This window comes from Homo sapiens, chromosome 5 (assembly GCF_000001405.40).
Source record: "Homo sapiens chromosome 5, GRCh38.p14 Primary Assembly".
NCBI lineage: Eukaryota > Metazoa > Chordata > Mammalia > Primates > Hominidae > Homo > Homo sapiens.
This window is the reverse complement of record NC_000005.10, coordinates 111209451-111233438: the sequence shown is the minus strand read 5'-3', so window position 1 is coordinate 111233438 and position 23988 is coordinate 111209451. Positions and strand designations below refer to the sequence as shown.

At 38.5% G+C, this 23988-nt stretch overlaps 1 protein-coding gene across 6 annotated transcripts in view, besides 3 other annotated features; it reads right to left on the bottom strand.

Moving 5' to 3' along the window:
* The window catches only part of CAMK4 (calcium/calmodulin dependent protein kinase IV), a 271304-nt gene extending 261448 nt beyond the window's left edge, over nt 1-9856 (bottom strand). For 4 of the 6 annotated variants that reach the window (XR_948303.3, NM_001744.6, NM_001323377.2 and 1 more), the window contains exon 1: nt 8795-9055. Coding sequence is in view for 3 of the 6 variants with exons in the window: in NM_001744.6 (NP_001735.1) it covers nt 8795-8955 (161 nt within the window). In the remaining 3 variants the exon portion in view is untranslated. Of the gene's footprint in view, nt 1-8794; nt 9056-9467; nt 9523-9732 lie in introns of those variants that run through there. The other 2 variants (NM_001323375.2, NM_001323374.2) reach the window with 2 other exon arrangements.
* Nucleotides 8817-8866: an enhancer, noted in NCBI's record as "active region_22891". NCBI's record gives its function as "activates an Ori minimal core promoter by ATAC-STARR-seq in GM12878 lymphoblastoid cells {active_cell/tissue: GM12878}" and the evidence as "EXISTENCE:reporter gene assay evidence [ECO:0000049][PMID:35858748]".
* Nucleotides 8977-9466: a silencer, noted in NCBI's record as "silent region_16229". NCBI's record gives its function as "represses an Ori minimal core promoter by ATAC-STARR-seq in GM12878 lymphoblastoid cells {active_cell/tissue: GM12878}" and the evidence as "EXISTENCE:reporter gene assay evidence [ECO:0000049][PMID:35858748]".
* Nucleotides 9827-9926: an enhancer, noted in NCBI's record as "active region_22890". NCBI's record gives its function as "activates an Ori minimal core promoter by ATAC-STARR-seq in GM12878 lymphoblastoid cells {active_cell/tissue: GM12878}" and the evidence as "EXISTENCE:reporter gene assay evidence [ECO:0000049][PMID:35858748]".

The following is a 23988-nucleotide window of genomic DNA, read 5'->3' as shown; positions in this document are numbered from 1 at the left end:
TCAGTATCAGACAAAAAGAAATAGGAGGAAGAAAGAGAGAAATGGAACTAGCCAACATGTTACATTGGTAAGAACTGTAACTGTAGCAGTTTCAGTAGATTTTGATAAAAGATGAGTATGCATTTAAAGCTTGTGCCCACGTGGAAAACTAATAAAAAGTTGACATTTTCAAAGTGAAAGAGAGACTAAAGGTAGTTCCTTGAATAAGTTAAGATTTGATATCATTTTAACCTGAAATTCTCATGCAACTGGGGAGGAGCAGAAGTTTAGCTTGACTGGTCTAGGTTAGCAAACCACAGACCAGACCTAGGAGCCGTTTGATTTTCTAGAGTCTGCAATCTAAAAACAATTTTTGCATTTTTAAAAATCAAAAGAAGAATACTATTTTGTGATGTGAAAATTATATGAAAGTCAAATTTTACTGTCATAAATGACATGTCACTGGAACACAGTAATGTGCTATTGTCTGTATGTTGTCTATGCCTGCTTTCTCTCAACCATGGCAGAGGGTAGAGCTGCATCAGAGACTGAATGGCCTTCAAGCCTAAAATACTTACTGTCTCTTTTTACTCACTCTTTACCTGGTCTAGGTAACCAATCTAAGTCCAACATTTCTCCTTTCTTACCTAGTCATAGGCTATGGGATTGTTTTTTCCTTAAAAAAAAAAAAAAATTTACATCATCAGTTTTCTCTTATCTAGCCCCATGTTTGATCTACATTATAGGTAGTGGCAAATTCTGAGTCCCACAACCTCAGCCCAAGACCCAGCTGCTTCTATAGCTGACGTTTTTCTCTCACAATGGTTACTTTATCTACAAAGTGGTTTTCAAGTGACACAAGCCTACTCTTTTTGTTTTTTTTAAACAGGTTGTCTTTGGTCTGACATCAACTTACCCTGCTGACCCAATCTGCCATTGCAATGTTCATGCTTTATAAATTTTGCAAAACAAAAATGTATATCCTGAATTTTTCTGTCCTTTTTTTGCCTCTTCTTAGAATGTACCATCTGCCTGACATGCTGTTTGCCAGTGCTCTACCTATTAAAATCCTGCCAAATTTCAGAGTCTACCCCTCCCCCATAAAGACACCCCAGTCCTCTCTGTCACAACTCTGTCATGAAGATGGCTATTGTTCTTAGATTTCTAATAAGTTTTATTCATTTTACTTATTCATTAATTTATCTTTTATTAAATATATTGTTGGTGCCTTATTAGTAGTACCCTATGCACTTGGAGGCCAAATATTGATTTATCATGCTCATTTACACTCTAGGCCCTTACCCCACCACATGCACACTGCCAGCATACATCGTCTAGGTCAGAATTATTGAAAAGCTTAGACTTATAAACAAGAGGACTTTAGGTAGCACAAACGCATGGAATTAAATAACAAGGAATAAAAGAGAGAGCGAGAACATCCTTTTCTTTTCAATTACTTTTCAATGATTCTGATTACATCAAGAAGAAAACTTCAATTTGTGCTACTCTGGTTTTAACTCTGCTAATCTTTGATCATCTCTTTTTTAAGGAAGAAATCAGTCCTCAGAGTTACAGCCTTCTGCATGTGGACAAGTCTAGCTATAATTTACTAAAAATGTTATGTTTCCATTACAATTTATTTTTACAATTTGTTTCTATTTATGGCATATACAATTTGCTTTTATTCACAGTTTTCAATTTAGTGAAAATTGTATTCTTGGTAAATAAATTTAGGTTAACAAAATAAGGTAATTTAAATAAAAATATTAAGCAAATAGCAGAAGTGGAATACACATAAAACAGAAATCTTATGGTAATACATAGAAATGGGAGAAACATTTGGTTGTAGCAGATACTCAGTAAAGCCAAATTAACATAATCTATCAATCTCCTTGTTGTTGTTCACTATCTACATAACTGAAAGAAAATGTGTAAAACACTAGCTTCAAGACATGATTCTCAAGAGGAGAGAGGGGACACATTTGACAATGTTTAGAGACAGTTTTGGTTTAACAACTTATAAGGGTGTCACTACTGGCAGCTAGTAGGTAGAGGCCAGGGACACTGTTAAACATCCTACAGTGCACAGGACAGCCCCCACAACAAGGAATTTCCTGGGCCAGAAGTCTATAGTGCCTAGATTGAGAAACCCTAGTCTAAGAGAAAAGAGGAAGGTCTACTTGCATTACCCTTTACCCATCACTATGAATCACTGTCTCTCCAGACACTGTTCTTTTCTTTATTTGATCTTTACCACTGACAAGATAATGACTGAGGAAAATCTCTGACAAACTGTATTGAAGGGTCCACATCCTTTATGTGCTAATACTATGCCTTCGATATTTAGACCTAACTTCCTAATTAAACCATTGGAGTCATGAAATCTTCAGATAATCCTGTACTACAAATAGATCAAGAAAACTGAGGTAAAGATCAATATAATTTGAGTAAAACCTTGACTCTAGCTGCTATCAACTTCATGAAAAGTTCCTCTTTGTCCTGAATTACATGGTTCCTTGCCTCAAACACCATATTTTGCAGTATGAATTTGACCTTGAAATTTTACAAAATCAATATTCTGTTTATTAGATACGTAGCTTTCCCAAAAGAGTTTTTAAAAAACCCTTTATTTTTTTTAAAAAAAAAGAGGAAAAAAAGAAAAAAAATATTAACAAAAAATAACTAGTAGTTGAAACACTTCACTTGGCTAACACTACTTTGTTCTTAAATGTATTACTGCAAACACATAACCCACACATATATGTCTGAGGGTAAAGTGTTTACAAGAAAGTTCTTTGAAGCTATTTTGTGGTTAGTGTTCTTTTTCTCTCTCTCTTTCAAGTTCTCCAGAACAGTTTAGAAGCAGATGGCACCTGTGTCTTTTTTTTTTTTTTCCCCCAAAATCTGGAGTTATTTTTAACCTTGTGACAGTATTTAAACATGGAAAAGTAGTGTGCTCTTAAAGCAATGATGTTATCGTAGCCTTCACTTGATTTTAAGGTTTTTACAGTGAGTATATTTCCAAATTTAGCATTTACTATGCATTAACTTTAGTGGATGGTATAGCTTGGAGGCATTTCATGCCTTTTAGTCCAACTTGATTTAACTCCTAATTCTGATACACCTGTGGTAAAGTGACAGTGAAGGTGAAACTGAATCCCTTTCATTTCAGAGCCACAAAACACTCTGCCAACAGAAAAGTGACATTATTTTTAACAACAGCAAGCTACAGAGGTGGCAGCTACCAATACTCACACTGAAGAAAGAAAACCAATGCTGATTGAGATTAGGGTTATTGTCAGGCAAGTTTTAGGGAGAAGAGAAAAGGGTTACAGTATTCTCCTTATCCTAGGGTCACTAGAATCAATATCACTACGACATCAGGACCAAGACCTCAAAGAAGAGGAAGCGGGTACACATGCTGCACCCGGCCCATTTCATTATCATTGATTCACCCTCTTTAAAATCATTTGTTGAGTACCTGTTAAGTACTAAGTGCTCTGCTAGACATGAGCACATAATAGTGAACCAGCCAAACCCACAGACTCTGCCTTCTGGAAGCTTACAGTCAGTGTTCCTGGGAAGACCCTATGAAGCCCCAGTTTTTATTCTCCCACTTGCAATCCCACCTTGCTCCTGAGTCAACTGCCTGAGAAAAGAATCAGATGCACAGAGAACAAGACAGGGTTGGCACAAGTATATTTTTAATTCCTAGTAAGATAAAAAAACCTACCATCCCCCAAGAGCTGGAGCTTCTAAGTGCAGTGTGTGTAGCAGGAGATCAGAAGCCAGCAGTATACCTACCCAGATAGGCCATGGGGCCCTAAAGCATGGTGTCGGAAAAAATCAAGGATCTAAGAAGCTCTGGTCACGAGAATGGTTTAGGAAATTGGTTGACCAAAAAAAAGGAGAATCTGTTTCTTCAGCAGCCATGCTGTGGACTGAATTGTGTCCCCTCAAAATTCACATGTTGAAGCCTTATTCCAACTCCAATATGATGGTATTTATAGGTGGGGCTTTTGGAAGGTAATTATGTTTAGTATGAGGTTATGCAGCTAAACCCCTCATCGTGGGATCAGTGCACTTGTAAGAAGAGGCACCAGAGAGCTTGGTTTCTTTCTCTCTTCCCCTCTCTTTCTCTCTTCCTCTCTGCCTTGTGACGACACAGCGAGAAGGCAGCCATCTGCAAAACAGAGAGTCCTAACTGAGGAAATGCATTGGCTGGGACCCTGATCTTGGACTTCCTAGCCTCCAGAGCTGTGAGAAATGCATATTTATTGTTTAAGCCACCCAGTCTAAGACATCTTGTTATATCAACCAGAGCCAAGAGCACTAAGACAAGCCAAGAACATTGGCTGAAGCCCTTCTCTTAGAAAATGCACGCTTTCGTGTTTCCTTATAGAAAGCATTTGCTCACTGTGACCTGGAGCCAGAATACATGTTACCATGTAGAATATACCACTTCTCAGTCTCTGAGTTCCTTCCCAACACAGCCCCTGGCACTCTTAGCCAGTTCAAATTACTGTGTGCCCAGCAGACCTTAGGGAGACACCAGAGTTTTTCCAAAATGTTTAGAAGGGGAAAAATCAGTAATGACCTGGAGGCAAAGATAGGAGCCTTTTTCTCTACAGGGCTGTGCCAAAAGGATACCACCCAATGTTGCCAATTGGTCTGCAGGGAATTTCTTTAAAAGACTCTGCCTCATAGCTTAATCTATCACACACAGATTTATGGCCTACAACAGCACTTTTCAAACTGAATCACAACACATTAGTGGGATGTGAAATCACATGGGTTCAGCCAAGTTTTTTTAACAAAATAGATGAAATCAAACAGCATATAATAGAAAATATTAAAGTGCATTGCTGGTAATAAGAATAAACACTGTTTTATGAAATTGTTTCTGTTTTATACACACACACACACACACACACACACACACACACACACCCCTTACTATGGAAATCTATTTGGTTCCTAAACAATAATACATATAGCAAGGGATCCTATATAATTAGTTTAATTGAGTTGACAAATAAATGTATTTAAAATTATAAATGTATACACATAATTGTGTTTACATAAATGTGACACATAAATGTATTATTTAAAATTACATTGCAGTGGGGAGGAGTATGCAAAGTGCCTAGCCTAAAGAAACTACAGTAAGTGGAATGGGAACTAAATTTAAAGAAAAAAAAGGTTCCAAAATAGTTTAACACATTCTTCTCTTGTTCTAATTATCTTTCATTTGGTTTGGTTTCCTTGGATTTGTATGTCTGGGAATACATCTGGTTTTCTTATCATCTTTTCTTTCAACATGGAACAACAGTGAGAAACTAAAGGTGAGACAACTGAAAACAGGACATGGGTTTGCATGCACAGACGAAATCTGCACCACCAAGCAGGCTGGGCCATTTCCTGTCATTCCATGTGCCAAACCACTGGGCGGGATCTGGACCAGAGGCAGCTCCCTTCTCCCTCAGAAAAGCCTTTAAAATGCCAGTTTCTCAAATCACTGGGCAAAAGACCAACTGCTCTCGAGGATCTGGAGCCCTGAATAGGATCATGGCCAATTCGTATTTTTAAGTAGAGTTGAATGTGTGTGTGTCATGATTTTTGTAAACTTTTTGAAAAACTCTATGAACAAAACAGTGTCTTCAAATGTGATTTTAGGAAAATTACTTTGCCTGATACTTTTAATTCACCCGTAACCCCTATACTCTATGCCCTCCCTGCCAAAAGAAAGTGAGCACATCTGTCTTGGTCTCAATGGCTCCATGTGGATCAGTGCTGCCAGCACCTGCCTTCGCCAGCACTATCCAGGGGCTTCAGGTGGATATAGCCTTGGGAGTTTAGCTCCCCTTGAGTTCCCAAACACATCCTCAGGGTGTATCGCCCCAGTGGTCACCGTCCAATCTTCTTGCAATCAGGAGTCACTACTTTACAACAGACAACTGTAATGGAGGAGCCAACAAATCACTAATTCTGGTGGAGACTGTCTACTTTCTAGAGCTAACCACAACAGCAACACGTAACACCAGAAGCACTGTTCTCTTAGTATATTAATGACAACTGCATTACTAATGAATTAGAGTCACACTAGCAGGTGGATTTGGTCCAAAGCTGAGAGTAAAGGCTTGAAACTGATGACCTGAGTTCAACTTGATCTCTAGTGTAGGAAGAAAGAAGATTTTAGTCACTCAGCCAATATCTACGATCATCATTCTGTTGCATTCTCTGGCTCTATCGATTCTTAATAATTATATCTAGAATAGTAGTTGATGTTTTAAGTTTATTTACTTAAAAATTTCTGATAATGAAAATGATACTTCTCAAAGTCTCAGCCAGAGTAAGCATGCACCCCACGAATGCTGCCATGTACAGAAAACTTACCTAACAATACGCTTTACTGCTGACAAACAGAGCCTAAGTAAGACATTTTAGCTTTTATTGTTCCTCAATGTAGTTTAACTCTGTGATCTTTTACAGTAATCATAAGACTAGATAATAGAGCGAGAATCTTAGCAATGTATAGACAGAGGGTCTCCAATAGGATGGGCTTAACTTACAATTTTTCGACTTTTATGATGGTGGGAAAGTGATAGCATTCAGTAGAAATCGTACTTCAAATTTTGATCTTTTCCTGAACTATACATGGTAGGATACTCTCTCTGATGCTGGGCACCGGCCATTAGCCACAGCTCCCAGTTAACCACAGGAGGGTAAACAACCGGAACTCTAGAGTGTTCTCTGTTGTCAGTGTTTTTTGAATATTGTGTTTTGTGTTTCATATCTCACCATGTCTACAAAATCCCATCTGTACACGGTATTTAACAGTTATTATAAAATAGGCTTTATGTTAGATGATTTTGCCCAAATGTAGGCTAATATTAAGTGTTCTGAGCATGTTTCAGGTAGGCTAGGCTAAGCTACAACGTTTGTTAGCACAGGTGTAGTAAATGCATTTTCAACTTCTGATATTTTCAACTACAGTGGGCTTATTGGGACATAACACCATCATAAGTTGAGAAGCTTCTGTATAACCGATTAATATTTGTCCTCCAAAATTTACTGCAACACGTAATTCTGAACTGAAAAATAAAAAACCCAAACTTCAAATTTCTCAGTTTTTTCCTATGCAGGCTACCATCTCATAGGGGTATACAATTGGCAGTTTATTTTTTTCCCATTTTTCAAATTAAAGTGAATTTCTTGAGTTTCATGACGATGAAGCTTATTCATAAAGACAACGTGTGTGGATAAGTCAGCCTATTTGAGGCATCTAGGGTTAATGTTACTCTGAAAACAGATGTGCTACTGGGACAGTCCCTGCAGCAGCATCAGGCACTTCCTCTACTACACAGTAGTTTATAAAACACCCAGTAAACAATTTTAAGTAGATCATCCCTTTACTCAGAGGTTTACATGGTTCCACTGTCACGCATCATACAATTAATAACAGGCATGTTTTGGACCTTACAAAAATCGACATCATTGTCCTTTCATTTCCACCTATATATATAATAGATCTTCAGATGAATACTGAAAAACTTGATCAAAAATGGATGTTTATGTATACATTATTCAGTGCTCAAATACTTCAAAACATTTTTAACAGTGACAAATCACTGAATTTTCATTCAGAAGTTTGCCTATTTTACACATCTATATTCAATGAGCCTTCAATAGTACTAGCAAAGTGGGGGGAGAGTGGGCAGTGATCATTACATCTTCCCACTAAATACCAACATCCAGAATCCTGCTCTGGATCCTCCAATGACTTGAAAAAATAAAAAGGCTGTTAGCAATACTATTTCCAGCAAAAAGAGAATGAAAAATGAAATTGCAAAGGAGTAGTAAGTACAGAAGCTGCAACTTGTCAACCGTTGAAATTACATCTTCAGATTCCCTATACTAAAGAGCCTGGATCTAAAATAAGTGTTGAAAATAAATCTCCTTACCTATGGATAACAGAGAGAAAAGACAAAAAAAAAGGAAGTAAGGGAAAGAAAACTATAATTTTCAATGGATACAAATACGAAAGCATATGGAATCATGCAGAAGGCCAAACTGCTACCTGTTTGGATCTTCAGAGGAGGGATAGGGGACATATCTGCAATCCTAGGGAGATGGTCTGTTGCATATATAATTTAAATAAATCACTCCAGCCCATGAAAGAAGGGAAGCAGCAGCATTCTCACTAATTACCACTGCCTGGATCCCATATGCTGCTTTCTCTTTAAAGCCACACTAGTTCATTATTCTGCCTTCAACTCTCTTAAATGATTCATTTCTCCCTTCACTCCTGAGCAGACTCTGCAGGGAAGCTAGTATTTAAGTTTAATTTCTCGTGTCACTTGCTTTGGAGAGCTTGACGAGGGGAAGGAGGAGGAATCTAACTTAATAATTCTGTCTTGATTTGGAGGGGCACCCTCCGGCCCCCACCCTAAACAATAACTAGACAAACAGGACCCTCTGGCAAGCTATAATCGTGAGCAAAGATATCAATTGGGAAAGCAGGGCCCACGTGCGGTGGGAGCTGTCACCCAAGGGAAGTGGCAGCCTGCGAGAAGGAGGGAAGGTGGGAGGGAGTCGGGCTGATCCTACAGCTGCACCGGCCTAGGCGCTCTGGTGGGGTGGGAAGGACTCGAGCCGCACCTGAATGAAGGTTAGCTCTCTCTCAAGACACTAACTAGGTAGGGAGAAATCGAAGGGCACGAAGGCAGGCTCCCGCACCCTCCGAGCCGTCGCTGCGAGAGGGACAACCCCCAGTGCACGCCGCGGGCTTCCCCAGCCGGAGCCCGCGCCTTACCGTCCCAGCTCCGACTCCACCTCGAAGAAATCGCTCAGCGCATCCCTGTTGGAGCCGTCGATCCAGTAATCCGGGACGAGGCTCGCGGTCCCCGGGGCCGCACTGGCGGTGACCGAAGAGCAGGACGAGGCGGAGCAGGAGGGCACCGTGACTTTGAGCATCTTCGCAGCGGGACTCCGGAAGCCGCCGCCGCCGCCGCCGCCGCTGCCCGAGCGAGAAGCCGGCCGCCAGCCGCCGCCTGCGAACGCAGGAGCGAGAGAGAGGCGGCGTCCTTCACGCGCGCACACGCCCACCGCCGCCGCCCGCGCTCGCAGGGACGGTGGGCGGGGAAGGGGGCGAGCCTCTGCGAGAGGGCGCGAGGGGGAACCCGGAGTCGCCGCCCGCTGGAGGGAGACTAGCTGCACCGCTGAGGAGAGAGGCTCCCTCCCCCTCGCTCCTTCCCTCCTCACCCGCCCTCCTCCCGCGCCGAGCCTTTCCCGCCGCCCTCCCTCTTTCCTTTCTCTCTCCCAGGCTGTGGCTGCCGCGGTGCCGGCTAGGGCGGCTCCGGATGCTGGAGCTTGGGGAAGGCACAAGGACCCGCGCATCATCCCACGCGCCCTCCCGCGGGGACCGGAGCTGGAGGGAGACCGTGCGCAGCGGGACGCTGCTCTGGGATGGCGGGCGCCAGGCGTACCCTGGCAGCACCTGGGTCCGGGCGGCCCCGCCGGATAGCGAGAGAGGGACCTAGGTGGTGGTGGCGCAACTCATCCCTCCTTGAGCGCGTCTCCGTGGCGAGTCCCTCCCACCTAACACCAGCTAACCAGCCATCCTCTGTCAAAGCTTATATTGGTGGCCGGGGAGGGAGTACTGTGGTCGCCGATCCCTCAGGGCTCCTGTGCCTGGACCCAGTGAGAGCTGGAGGAAAAGGAAGCGCCCAGGTCCACACTGACCTGACTCACCTTTGAGTGAAGTCTTCAGTTGGAATAAATGCTGTCGTCGCTGCTGGTGGCACTGCCTCCTCGGCACTGCTGGAGCTCCTAAAAGAGGAGATACTTGGCTGTGTCGAGTTCAATCTCAGCATCTGAAGTGGCTCAGAATTACAGTTCTAGAAGGGCCTTGTGGAAGCCAACTAGTAAACCCTCTGCCTTAAGGCAGGACCTGTCCTCATTCATGACAGGGAAGACTGCTACATGTAAAAGCCCTTTTTCTCTTCCCAAGAGATGTATCCCATGATAAGCATTCTTATGTCCTGTCCATCAGCTGTCATGGCTCTTCTTCTCAGTATTAAACATACATCACTTAAACTACCCTTGAACTTTTTTCTTTTCAGATTTCAGCAAAGACGAACAACAATTAGTCATGTTCTGATACATATCTATGACAGTTATTATACCACAACTCATTTCTGGCTAAATAGCTCCAGGCGCTTTCACCTTACTTCACAGGTGTTACTTTTGGCCTTTTTTTTTTCCTGAGTTTCCTCCAACATGCGCTAAACTCTTCCTAGTAAGTCTCCATTCCTGATAGCACCAACCATTAATATGGTCCAATATTTTAATCTAATTTATGGATTTATTATTCTTAAAAGCCTGCCTGCTATACTGGTGAACAAACAACCAAAAATATCCAATCAAGTAGTTACAGGAATGTGATTCCTAGCTGATTGGAAATTGAAAATATATATAGTCATGCATCCCTCAACCACGGTGAGAAGTTGAAGAGATGCATCCTTAGGCGATGCAGTTGTAAGAACATCATAGGGTGTACTTGTACACAACCAGATAGTATAGCTTACTACACAGCTATGCTGGATGGAATAGTCAATTGCTCCTAGGCTTCAAACCTGTACAGCATTTTACTATACTGAATACTACAGGCCAGCGGTCCCCAACCTTTTCGGCACCAGGGACCAGTTTCTTGGAAGATAATTTTTTCCACAGACAGGGGGTGGGGAAGATGGTTCTGGGATGATTCAAGTGCATTACATTTATTGTGCACTTTAATTCTATTATTATTACATTGCAATACATAGTGAAATAATTATACAACTCACCGTAATATAGAATCAGTGGAAGACCTGAGCTTGTTTTCCTACAACTAGACGGTCCTATCTGGGGGTGATGGGAGACAGTGATAGATCATCAGGCAGTAGATTCTTATAAGGAGTGCACAACCTAGATCCCTTGCATGTGCAGTTCACAATAGGGTTCATGCTCTTACGGGAATCTAATGCTACCACTGATCTGACAGGAGGCAGAGTTCAGGCAGTAATGTGGGAGATGGAGAGCCCCTGTAAATATAGATGAAGCTTTGCTTGCTTGCCTGCAGCTCACCTCCTGCTGTGTGGCCCAGTTCCTAACAGGCCACAGACCAGCCCATGGCCTGGGGGTTGGGAACTCTGCTGTAGGCAACTGTAACACAACAATAAGTATTTGTGTATTTAAACATATCTAAACATAGGAAAGGTACAATAAAAATATGGTATAAAAGGTAAAAAATGGTACACCTGTATAGGGCACTTACCATGAATGCAGCTTGCAGGACTAAAAGTTGCTCCGTGTGAGTGAGTAAGTGGTGAGTGGATATGAAGGCCTAGGACATTACACTACTTAGACTTTATACATACTGTATGCTTAGGCTACACTAAATTTATTTAGAATAGTTTCTTTCTTCAATGGTAAATTAACCTTAGTTTACTGTAACTTTTACTTTATAAACTTTTTAATGTTTTAAAACTTTTTGACTCCTTTATAGTAATGCTTAGCTGAAACACAAATACAAGGTATTTTATACAAAATATATTGTAAAGCTGCACAAAAATGTTTTCTATGTATCCTTATTCTATAAGCTTTCTTCTTTTTAAAACAACTTTTTTAACTTTTTGAACTTTGTTAAAAACTAAAACATACACACACACTAGCCTAGGCCTACACAGAGACAGGCATCGATATCATGTCTTCCGCCTCCACATCTTGTCCCACTGAAAGCTGGAAGGGCTTTAGGGGCAATGACATGCATGGAGCTGTCATCTTCTATGATGACAATGCCTTATTCTGGAATACCTCCCGAAGGACCTGCCTGAAGCTGTTTTACAGTTAACTTTTTTTATAGCTAGAGGAGAAAACTCTAAAATAACAATAAAATGTATAGTGTAGTAAATACTATACTAGTATTTACTGGTAACATAGTATAAACTAGTAACATAGTCATTTATTACCATTATAAAGTATAATGTACTATACATAATTGTATACACTATACTTTTATATGACTGGCAGCACAGTAGGTTTGTTTACAGTGGCATCACCATAAACACATGAGTAATGTATTACACTGTAAGATTAGGCTATGATGTCACTAGGTGACAGAAATTTTTCAACTCTATTAGTCTTGTGGGACCACCGTTACACATGCAGCCCATTGTTGACCAAAATGTTGTGTGACACATGACTGTACAAAAACTATTCCTCATGATAATTTTATAATGATGAGCACAAACTCAATGTACAAATGCTCTAACAAATAACAAGTATATGCAAATTCATACAAATTCACTTACATACTAGCTTGTTTGGTGAAAGACTGAAAATGCCCACGTGATGTTACTTTTCAGAGAATAGATTCACTAATCGTGTTGAAAAATCAAGTTCACAAGCAAAGCAAGATAATAAAGCTCTCTAAATTCTAGCTTTGACTCAGTAAGTTTCCCTTGGCTTGCACTGACCAGTGGACAAATGGGCATGAAATAGTTGCTAGGCCATTTTTATTCTCACTTCTTTGAGGCAAGTCCAGCAGCAGCAGCACTGCATGTAAATGCTTGTCTGTTCTTAGCAATTCTTTTACAACATAAGCCCAAAGCAAGCATGTTACATTAAAGGAGATGGTAAGCCTTTTTTCTCCTGCTACTTTAGGTAACAATGGTGCAAGAAAGCCATTTCATGGTACAGAGGTGATTATAGAATTCATTTTATATTCAGCATAATTTTAGTCATTTGACATCTATGCTTTTCATAATTGACTTTTGTAAAAATGCTATTAATTGAAGTTTAAAAACAGGATATTTTGTATAATCCATGCAGCTTACTTTCATTTGAGACATAGATAAAAATTAATAAATATTAAAATAGATGAAACAGGAATTAAATATACAAAATGTACCATTACTTCTTATCAAAACTCAACTGAAATGACCAGAAAAGGAACAGGGTTATCATCCCACAAAAAGAAAGAGAGAAGTGATGTCAACTGAATCTTGAACACGTAAACAAACAGTAACAGAGGAGTTAATAAATCAGAAACCTAGATTTGCAATGGGAAAAGCCAATAAGAAGAAATCTAATCCCTACTATAAAATCAAGACATGTTCAGAAGTTAGAGTACCAGATAGTTCTCAAGGTGAGGCATAGAACAGAGAACAAAACATTGGTTAAAAAATTTTATAAAAAGTTATTAGGCCCCTTCATCCAAATTAGAAAGGAAGAAGTCAAATTGTCCTTGCTTGCAGATGATGTGATCTTATATTTAAAAAAGCCTAAAGACTCCACCAAAAAAAAAAAAAAAAAAAAAACTATTAGAATTGATCAGTCCAGTAAAGTTGCAGGATACAAAATCAACATATGAAAACAGTAGCATTTCTGAAATAGAAAATGAAAAAGTAATCCCATTTACAATAGCTACAAATAAAACAAAATATCTACGGATAAACTTAACCAAAGAAGTGAAAGATGTCTACAATGAAAACCGTAAAACATTCATGAAAGAAATGGAAGAGGACACAAAAAAATGCAAAGATATTTTATGTTTATGGATTGGAAGAAACAATATTTTTAAAATGCCCACACCACCCGAAGCAATCTACACATTCAATGCAATGTCTATCAAAATGCCAATGACATTCTTCACAGAAATAGGAAAAATAATGCTAAAATTTATGTAAAACCACAAAAGAAGCCAAATAGACAAAGCAATCCTGAGGGGAGGCCAGGGCAGGGGGAAGCTGGAGGTGTCATATTACCTGGTTTCAAATTATAATACAAAGGTAAAGTAACCAAAAGAGCATGATACTGGCATCAAAACGAATATATAGGCCAGTAGGACAGAAGAAAGCACCGAGAAATAAATTCATGCATTTACAGTCAAATCATTTTTGAGAAAGGCACCCAGAACATACATTAGGGAAAGGACAGTCTCTTCAATAAATAGTGCTTGGAAAACTGGATGTCCATTTGCAGAAGACTGAATCTAGACCCTCTCTCTCACGATACAAAAATCAAGTCAAAGTGGATTAAATACTTCAATCTAATACCTGAAACTATGAAACTACTAGAAGAGAATATTGGGGAAACACTCCATTTCATAGGTCTGGGAAAGATTTCTTGAGTAAGGTCTCAAAAGAACAGGCAACCAAAGCAAAATGGACAAATTGAATCACATCGAGCTAAAGTTTCTGCACACAGCAAAGGAAACAATCAAAAAAACTGAAGAGACAACCCACAGAATGGGAGAAAATATTTGCGAACTATCCATCTGACAAGGGTTTAATAACCAGAATATATAAGAAACTCAAACAACTCTACAGGAAAAAAAATCAGATTGAAAAATGGGCAAAAGATCTCAACAGACATTTCTCAAAAGAAACATACAAATAGCCAACAACTATATAAAGAAATTTCTATTCATCAAAGAAATGCAAATCAAAACAAGGAAATATCTCACCCCTGTCTTTCTGATAAATGACTTTTATCAGAAAATCACCTTAGAGTGAAACCTACCATTAAACAGGCTCAGTGACCCAAAGCTTCTAATGAGATACAATCTTTCTAATAAATGACTTTTATCAGAAAGACAGGCAATAATGAATGTTGGTGAGAATGTGGAGAAAAGGGAACCCTCGTACACTGTTGGTGGGAATATAAATTAGTACAGTCACTGTGAAGAACAGAATGGAGGTTCCTCAAAACAATAAATAAATTAAAAATAGAACTAACATGTGGTCCACAATCCCACTGCTAAGTATATATCCAAAAGAAAGGAAATCAGTATATCAAAGATACATCTGCACTCTCATATTTATAGCAGCCATGATAAAGAATCAACCTGAGTATCCATCAGTGGATGAATGGATAAAGAAAATGTAGTATGTATACACAAGGAAATATTATTCAGCCATAAAAAGAATGAAATCTTGTCATTTGCAACAACACAGATGAAACTGGAGGACATTAAGTGAAATAAGCCAGGCACAGAAAGACAAATATTGCATGTTCTCACTCATATGTGGAAGCTAAGAAAAATATTGAACTCTTAGAGATAGAGAGTAGAATGATGGCTATCAGAGGACGGGAAGGGTAATAGCAAGGAGGGGATAAATAGGGGATAGTTAATGAGCACAAAAATACAGTTAGATACAGGGAATAAGATCTAATGTTCAGTAGCATAATAGGGCAACTATAGTTAACAGTAACTTATTACATATTTCAATATAACTAAGAGTGGAATTGGAATGTTTCTAACAACAAGGAAGTGATAAATGCTTGAAGGGATGGATATTCCAGTTACCCTGATTTGATCACTGCACACTGTATGTTTGTATAAAAATATCACATGTATCCCATAAATAAGTGCAAATATTATGTATTCATAACAAATTCTTTTTTTAAATTAAAGCTTTTAGGCTTCCTGGATTACCTCTTCTAACAATTCACAGCCAAAAAACACTCCTACCAAAGCCTAGAAGAAGATAATATATTTAATTTTGTAAATGTTGAACAAGGAACGAAATATGTTTTAGGTCAGAAGATACAGCTGAGGCCATATTGAAAAGAGAGATTAAGTGAAACTCTGCACGATAAGTAGCGAGACCCCTGAGGGCACACGCTCCCAGAATGTTGAGAAATAGGTTTATGTCTATTTTGCCCCTAGCCATACAACTATTGGTGGATTTTTCACTGAACAAAATAAATAACCCAAGGAGGGTTATATATATAACACAAAATACTACAAATAATTCCCTCTATATGATATTCAAGGAAAGGCAAAACTGAAGTGACAGAATGCAGATCAGTAGTTCTCCAGGGCTAAAGTGGGAGGGAATCAAATGCAAAAGACTCTAAGGGATTTGGGGAGTGATGGAAAGGTTTTATATCATGGTTATGGTGGTGATTACAGGATTTTATTCATTTGTCAAAACTCTGAATTATACTTTTTAAATTGATAAATTTTATTGTACCTAAGTTACATCTTAATAAAAACAATTAAAATTAAAGGCACAGCCAGTGCTCTAACTTAGGTAAAATTAGAAGTTATTAATATTGGAAAGAAAGAAGTTAAATTGTTGTCATGTACCGATGACTTGACTATTATATAGAAAATTCTAAAAGTTGGTTTAGACTACTACAATTGATCAGTGAATTTGTCAAGGTCACAATATACAAGGTCAATATAAAACAATCACAATATAAAACAAATACTAATAGGAAATGATAGGAAAATTCACTAATACCATTTCATTTACAATAGAATAAAAAGCATAAAATACTTAGGAATCAATTCAACAGAAGATGTCCAAATCATCTACAGTTAAAATTACCAGATATTGCTAAGTGAAATTTTTGCAAATCAAAACTACAAAGAGAAATAATCTCATACCAGTCAGAATGACAATTACTAAAAAGTCAAAAAATAACAGATGCTGGTGAAGCCGCAGAGAAAAGGGAACACTTATACATTGTTAGTGGAAATGCAAATTAGTTCAGCCACTGTAGAAAGCAGTTTGGAGATTTCTCAAAGAACTTAGAACTACCATTTGGCCCAGCAATCCCATTACTGGGTATATACTCAAAGAAAAATAAATCGTTCTGCCAAAAAGACACTTACACTTGTATGTTAATTGCAGCACTATTCATGATAGCAAAGGCAGAATCAACCTAGGTACTCATCAATGGTGAACTGGATAAAGAAAATGTGGTACATATACACCTTGGAATACTACACAGCCATAAAAAATAATAAAATCACGTCCTTTGCAGCAACATGGATGTAGTTGGAGGCCATTATCCTAAGTGAATTAACACAGAAGCAGAAAACCAAATATCACGTGTTCTCACTTATAAGTGGGAGCTAAACACTGAGTAAACATGGACATAAAGGTGGGAACAACAGACACTGGAAACTACTAGAAGAGGGAGGGAGGAAGAGGTGGATGGGATGAAAAACTACCTATTGGGTACTATGCTCACTACCTGCATGATGGTGTCAACCATGCCTCAAACCTCAGCATCACGCAGTATACCCATGTAACAAACCTGCACGTGTACCCTCTGAATGCAAAATAAAAGTTGAAAAAAATCTAAGTGGAGAGATATATCATGCTCATTGACTGGAAGACTCAGTATTATTAACATAACAATTCTCTCCCTAACTGGTATGCAGACTAATCTTAATAGGCTTTGTTTGTAGAAAATGAAAAATGTATGCTAACATGTGTAAAGAAATACAAAACATCTGGGATACCAAAACAGTCCTGAGAAGAACAAAGTTGGAGAACTCTATCTGACCTTAAAACTTACTATAAACAGACAGAAATAAAGACATTGTGATATTAGTATAACAAGAAAAAAAGGGGTCAATGGTAAAGAATAGAGTACAGAAATAGAATCATATACATGTGGTCGATTAAATTTTGAAAAAAGTATCAAAGCAATTAAATAGGCAAAGGTAAGTTTTTACAGTAAGTGGTACTGAAATAATTAAATAAACACATAGTAACAAATGAACTACAATCTTTTTCTTATACCACAAAGATTAACTTAATTTAAAATAAACTTTTTATACAGAAGCTAAAACTATCATAGCATTTCTAAAAAAGACATTAAAGAATATCTCCAGGAAATTACAGTATATAAAAATATCTTAGACAAGACACAATGAGCTCTAAATATAAAAGAAAAAGATTTTAAAATTGCGTTTGTCAAGTTTAGAAACTTCTGTACAGCAAGAGACACAATCAAAAAAGTAAAAACAGAAGCCACGAGCTGAGAGTAAGTTCTTTCAATACAAATATTTGACAAATAATATGCATCCAGAATATACAAACCCTTAGAAATCAATAAGAAGAAAACTAAAAATATGATTAAAAGACTTCTAGTGTCTCCTCAAGATATAGAGAATTGGAAAGAACAATATTTTCCACCCTTACAAAAACAACAAAAAATGCAAGGTCAAGATTTTCTTGAAAACTTCAGAGAAGTGAAGTCACAGGAAAACCAACTAGTCTAAAATCTAAGGAGAAAAAGATGTCTGTGAGGAAAGATGGCACTTGCTAACCAGGAACAAACACAGCCAGAGACCAGTTAGAATTTGGTTAGAAGAGTTAATAAATTGGGGAGGTGTATCAGTTTGTTTTCATATTGCTATAAATAACTGCCTGAGACTGGGTAATTTATAAAGGAAGGAGGTTTAATTGACTCACAGTTGCGCGTGGCTGGGGAGGCCTCAGGAAACTTACAATCAGGGTGGAAGGCAAAGAGGAAGCAAGGCACCTTCTTCACAAGGCAGAAGGAAGGAGAAGTGCTGAGTGAAGGTGGCAGAGCCCCTTTAAAAATCATCAGATCTTGTGAGAACTCACTCACTATCACACGAACAGCATGGGAGAACTGCCCCTCATGAATCAATTACCTCCACCTTGTCTCTCCCTTGATATGAAGACTATAATTCAAGATGAGATTTGGGTGGGGACACAAAGACTAACCATATCAGGGAGTGTTGAGTGTGCGTTCACAGGAGAATGCAGAGCCCCTGGGAGCCACATACTCCCACACATAGGGGGAGTTCACATCTTCTTGCAGTCTTTTCTGGACGGACTCTACTGGGCATACAAAAAAAGGATGGGTGAGAGTCCTGAGAAAGCATGCTTCATGGTGCAGACCTGGAGGAGAATGGTAGCTACTGTGAGGGGGTACAAAACCAGCCAAGAACTTCTCTCTTATCTCCCCTGATAAATAGAAGCCTTCATATACAAGTGGTTTTGGCAACAAGCATTGTCACCTTTAGGCACTGGGACAAAGGCAGTGCAGCTGGGGGAAGGGAACAGGGAAAAATCCCCTTTTCCTGGAGGGAGAGGCAGGCATATGTGCTGAGCACAGAACTACAGATGGTGAAAAGGCAAGAGTTCTGAGAAGGTCACATTCCCAAGACCCATGTATATAGGGCCCCCTAAGACTGAAGTTTAATCAAAACAACAGAGACTGTCCCCTCTGCTCCCTAGTACCAAGCTAACACGCATCAGATAAAAAGTAACAGTGGGGTGCTGCTAGGAAGTTGTAAGAACGGGGAGACAGACCCTCTCAACAGCATAATGCAAATAAGAGAACTAAAGCTGAGTGTGGACCAGATAGAGGAACCTGCTCAGGAAAACCAGGCCCCACCCAAAACTAAAGATGTGGTTAGAGAAATCTGAAGCATGTGGTACACCAAGAATAAGCATAGCATGAATAAACTGCAAATCCAAACAATATCCTCAGTAGATTAACCCAAACCTCCACAAAAAATGCCTAGCATAAGGGAAGGCATGCTTACTTACAGGCATGAAAACTACTATTTCCACTTTCCAACACACGATGCACACATTAAACGCAAAATTATAAGCAAACAAAATGGCAAGAAATAAACAACATACTGGTAAGAAACAAAGCGATCAACTGAACTGGACTCAGATGTGACAGAGATGTTAGAATTATCTGACAGCAATTTAAAAATAACTATGACTATGATGTTAACAACGGTAATGGAAAAAGTGAAGACATGAGATAAGTGGAAAATTTCAACAAGGAGATGAGAACTAAAAGAATCAAATGAAATTTCAAGGAACAAAACCCCCTACAGTAACATAAATGAAGAGTGCCTTCAACACACTCATCAGCAAATGTGGCACAGCCTGGGAAAGATTCATTGAACTTAAAGATAGGTCAATTGAAAACACCCAGATAGAAACACAGAGCACCCAAGACCAATGGAACAATCTTAAAAATTCCATGCAGTCTCACATATGCCTACGTGGAATTCCAGAAAAAGAATAGGACGGAAATTTTCTCCCATTCTGTAGATTGTCTGTTTACTCTGTTGATAGTTTATTTTGCTGTGCAGCAGCTCTTTAATTAGATACCATTTGTCAATTGCTGCTTTTGTTGCAATTGTGTTTGGTGTCTTCATCATGAAATCTTTGCACGTGCCTAGGTTGTCTTCCAAGGTTTTTATAGTTTTGAGTTTTACATTTAAGTCTTTAATTCATCTTGACTTAATTTTTGTATATGATGTAAGGAAGGAACTGGAGGCCATTATTCTTATCAAACTAACACAGGAACAGAAAATCAAATACCATATATTCTCACTTATAAGTGGGAGCTAAATGATGAGAACTCATGGACACATGGAGAGAATCAACACACACTGGGGCCTACTTGAGGCTAGAGGTTGGGAGAAAGGAGACTATCAGGAAAAACCAATAATGGGTACTAGGCTTAATACCTGGGTGATGAAATAATCTATACAACAAACCCCCATGACTCAAGTTTACCTATGTAACCAACCTACAGATGTACCACTGAACTTAAAATTTAAAAAACAAAGAAAGAAAGGATACGACAAAAAAATTTGAATAATGGCTATGAATTTTTCAAAATCAGTAACATACACCAAACCACGGATTCAAGAAACTTAGAGAACTGCAAGGAGGATAAACATCAAATGTGTGTGTGTGTGTGTGTGTGAGATATGTTTGTCTACACACATATCATCTAGGCATATTATAATCAATCTACTGGAATCAAAAGACAAAGAGAAAATTTGAATGTAGTTGGAGAAAAAAACAATACCACACAAATATAAAAATGATAAATTTAAAAAAAGAGAAAACATATTCAATAGGGGGAAATAAACTAAAAACACAAGAAGGCAAATTAATGAAATAAAAAACAAATATACCATAGAAATACTCAGTCCAAAGTCTGTTCCTTAAAAGGACCAATAAATTGATGAACTCCCAAATAGATTAATAGAGAAAGAGATACAAGTAACCATGATCAGGATTAAAGCAGGGGAAATCACAACAAGTTTGATAAATTCTAAAAGTAATAAAAGAATATTATAAAATTTTGAATGAAATCTTTCTTAGAAAAACACCATTCACCAAAACTGATGCAAAAAAATTAAACACCACAAACCTTGGATAGCTCTATACCTACTAAAGAAGTGGAATCTCTAATTGAAAACCAACACACACACAGAGAGAGAGAGAGAGAAAGAGAGAGAGAAGCTCCAGACCCAGATGGCTTCACCTGAAAATTCTACATTTTAAGAAAGAACACCAGTCTTATACAAACTTCGAGAGATTTAAAAAAGAGAACAATTCTTAACTTGTCCTTAGAAGTCAGAATAAGCTGGTTTACAACAAATAGGTTACGGCAGGGCGCCTGTAATCCTAGCACTTTGGTACGCCAAGGAGGGCGGATCACCTGAAGTGAGGAGTTCAAGACCAGCCTGGCCAAAATGGTGAAACCCTGTCTCTACTAAAATAGAAAAATTAGCTGGACATGGTGGTGTGCACCTGTAATGCCAGCTACTAGGGAGGCTGAGACAGTAGAATCACTTGAACCCGGGAGGCAGAGGTTGCAGTGAGCCGAGATCGCACCACTGTACTCCAGCCTGAGCGAAAGAGCAAGACTCCATCTCAAAAAAAAAAAAAAAAACAAGTAGGTTACAAGGAAGAAAATTTTCAGGCAAATATTATTTATAAGCTAAAATTTTTTAATTAAGCAAAATATATAAATTATACTATATTATGACTCAATTGGGTTTATCCTAAGAATTCAAGATTAACTTAATGTTTCAAAATCAATCATGTATTTTACCTACATTAGCAAAAAGAGGAAGAACAAATTATATGATCTTCTCAATAGAGGCAGAAAAAAATGATAAATGTCAAGTCCATTAATGATTGAAAACACAAAAGCCACTTTAAAAACCAGAATAGAGTCTGCAAAAAAATTCACATTTAATGGAGAGATGCTGAAAAACTTCCCTCTGAAATCAGAAACTATACAAACTTACTCTCTGTCACTACTTTCACTTTTACTCAATATTGTACAGGAAGCCTTATCCAATGTAATAAGGCAAGATACGAAACAAAAACAAAAACAAAAACCTAAAAGGAATAGTATTGAAAAGAAAACATCTGTCATTATTCACAGAAAATGTAATTGCTTATGTTGAAAATACAAAAAGAATCTAAAATGAATTCCAAAAATTAATGAGTTTATAGTTACTAAATGCAAAGTCAGTATGAAAAATTCAGTATAAAAATTGCATTTCTGTATGTTAGTAATAGCTAGACAAGAAAAAAATTAAATCTGTAGTGTTCAGGGTAAACAAAATTAAACTATTAAAATAGAAAAAATAAAGTTTAAAAATTATTAGCACGTAACATAATAAAGCAGAAGTATCAGTCTAGAATTGTGAAAAGTGGTAGAGAAGAAAAGTCCAAAACAGAAAACAAATAAAAGTAGGCTACAAATCCTGTCCCTTGTAGCTAGAGATATTCTGATTAAACATGGACATTGACAGAAAGTTATAGGGTTAAGTATACATCTCAAAAATATAAGAATAAAAATGAGAAGAGTAGAAAGTGTATAGCTTTCCAACAACAAGGTGGAGGAAGAGGAAATAGGACAAAGTTTGATAGACAAAAGGTAGAGGGGAAAAAAATCACGAAATAGTTAAAATGGCAGTATATGGGATGCTATAGTACACTGTCATGGATATTTCATTCAAAGTTAGCCTCCTTTCTGGGGGCAACCTACATTCAATAACTGATCCCAGACTCCTTGCTTCAATTCAGGACAACTCCTAAGGTCCTTCCCATCTCCAGAGCTCTCTGTGAGACTGGCTGGGACCTCTAGGATTGCAGTTCAACCTTTCCTTCTGCCCAGTCTTTCCTGTACGCCCTCACAGGTACTGTTTCTGATTATTCCTCAACACCTTTTCATATGCATATGCCTGTCTTCTCTATCTTAACTAATGTTTCTCAGGGGACCTGATTTCAGAGAGTTGGTGCCAAGTGGAACAAGAAAGCGGAACTTTAAGTGTGGAATTTTGGAGCCAGATCACCCACCAGGTGGCTAACAGTTAAGATTTCATCATTGGTAGCAAATGAAGTGTGGAAGATCCTAGAATACTGTGGCAACATATTCTGATTACATTTTGTTGCTTAACAAATATATGCAAAGCTGAGTGGCTTAAAATAACTATTTTATTGTCTCTCATGATTCTGTGGGTTAATTAGGCTTAGCAGGACAGTTCTCCAGCTTCAATGATGCTGGATGAGGTTGTAGTCATTTGGAAGCTTGATTGGGCTCATTCACTTGTTTGGAAGCTGAGGCTAGCTTCAGCTTTGAGATCACCTGTAACTGGTGACCAGTGTGCCTATAAGTGGACTCTTCACAATATGGCAGCTGGGTTCCAAGAGGAACATCCCAAGAATGCGCTTTCTGAGAGAGAGGAACTAGAAAATACAAGATCGTTTAAGGATTAGGCTAACATTTTGCATGGTACAGTATCACTTACACCATATTCTATTATCAATGTAATCACAAGCATAGACCACATTCAAAGAGAGAGGAAGCAGGACATGGAGCATGTATACGGAAGGTAGGGTAAAACTGAGGCCACCTTAACAGACCAGCTAGTGCACAGTATAATTGTTAAAATTTCACTAGTGGAGAACTCAGAGGGTATAATAGTGAAGGAAAGGCACTGATGGGTGCAATATCTCAAAAGTTTGAAAAATTTGGGGAAAGTAATAATTATAGACAATGGAATCAGATGCATTTTGCTGCATGCAACCAAGGCACTAGAGAAAGAAAACAAAAGGCTGAGGGTGATTATCATGAACTACAGGCAAAGTGAGAAAGCTGGTGGGCTTCCTTGGCAGCTTTTGAAGAAACTCTCAACTGCTGCAGCTGGATAGCAGAAAGAGTGGTGGATCAGGTACAGGACTTATTTGTAAAGCTGGCCAGTTGCAAAAACACTGAATTCTCAATCTTGGAAGTGCTTCTAAACCCAGGTCAGGTCCTCTTTTGGAAGGAGTCTTGAGATGGGAACTTCTTGGTTGACACACTAAAGAAATTTGAAACCCCCAGTTTCCCTGAACCACCTGCAGAAGT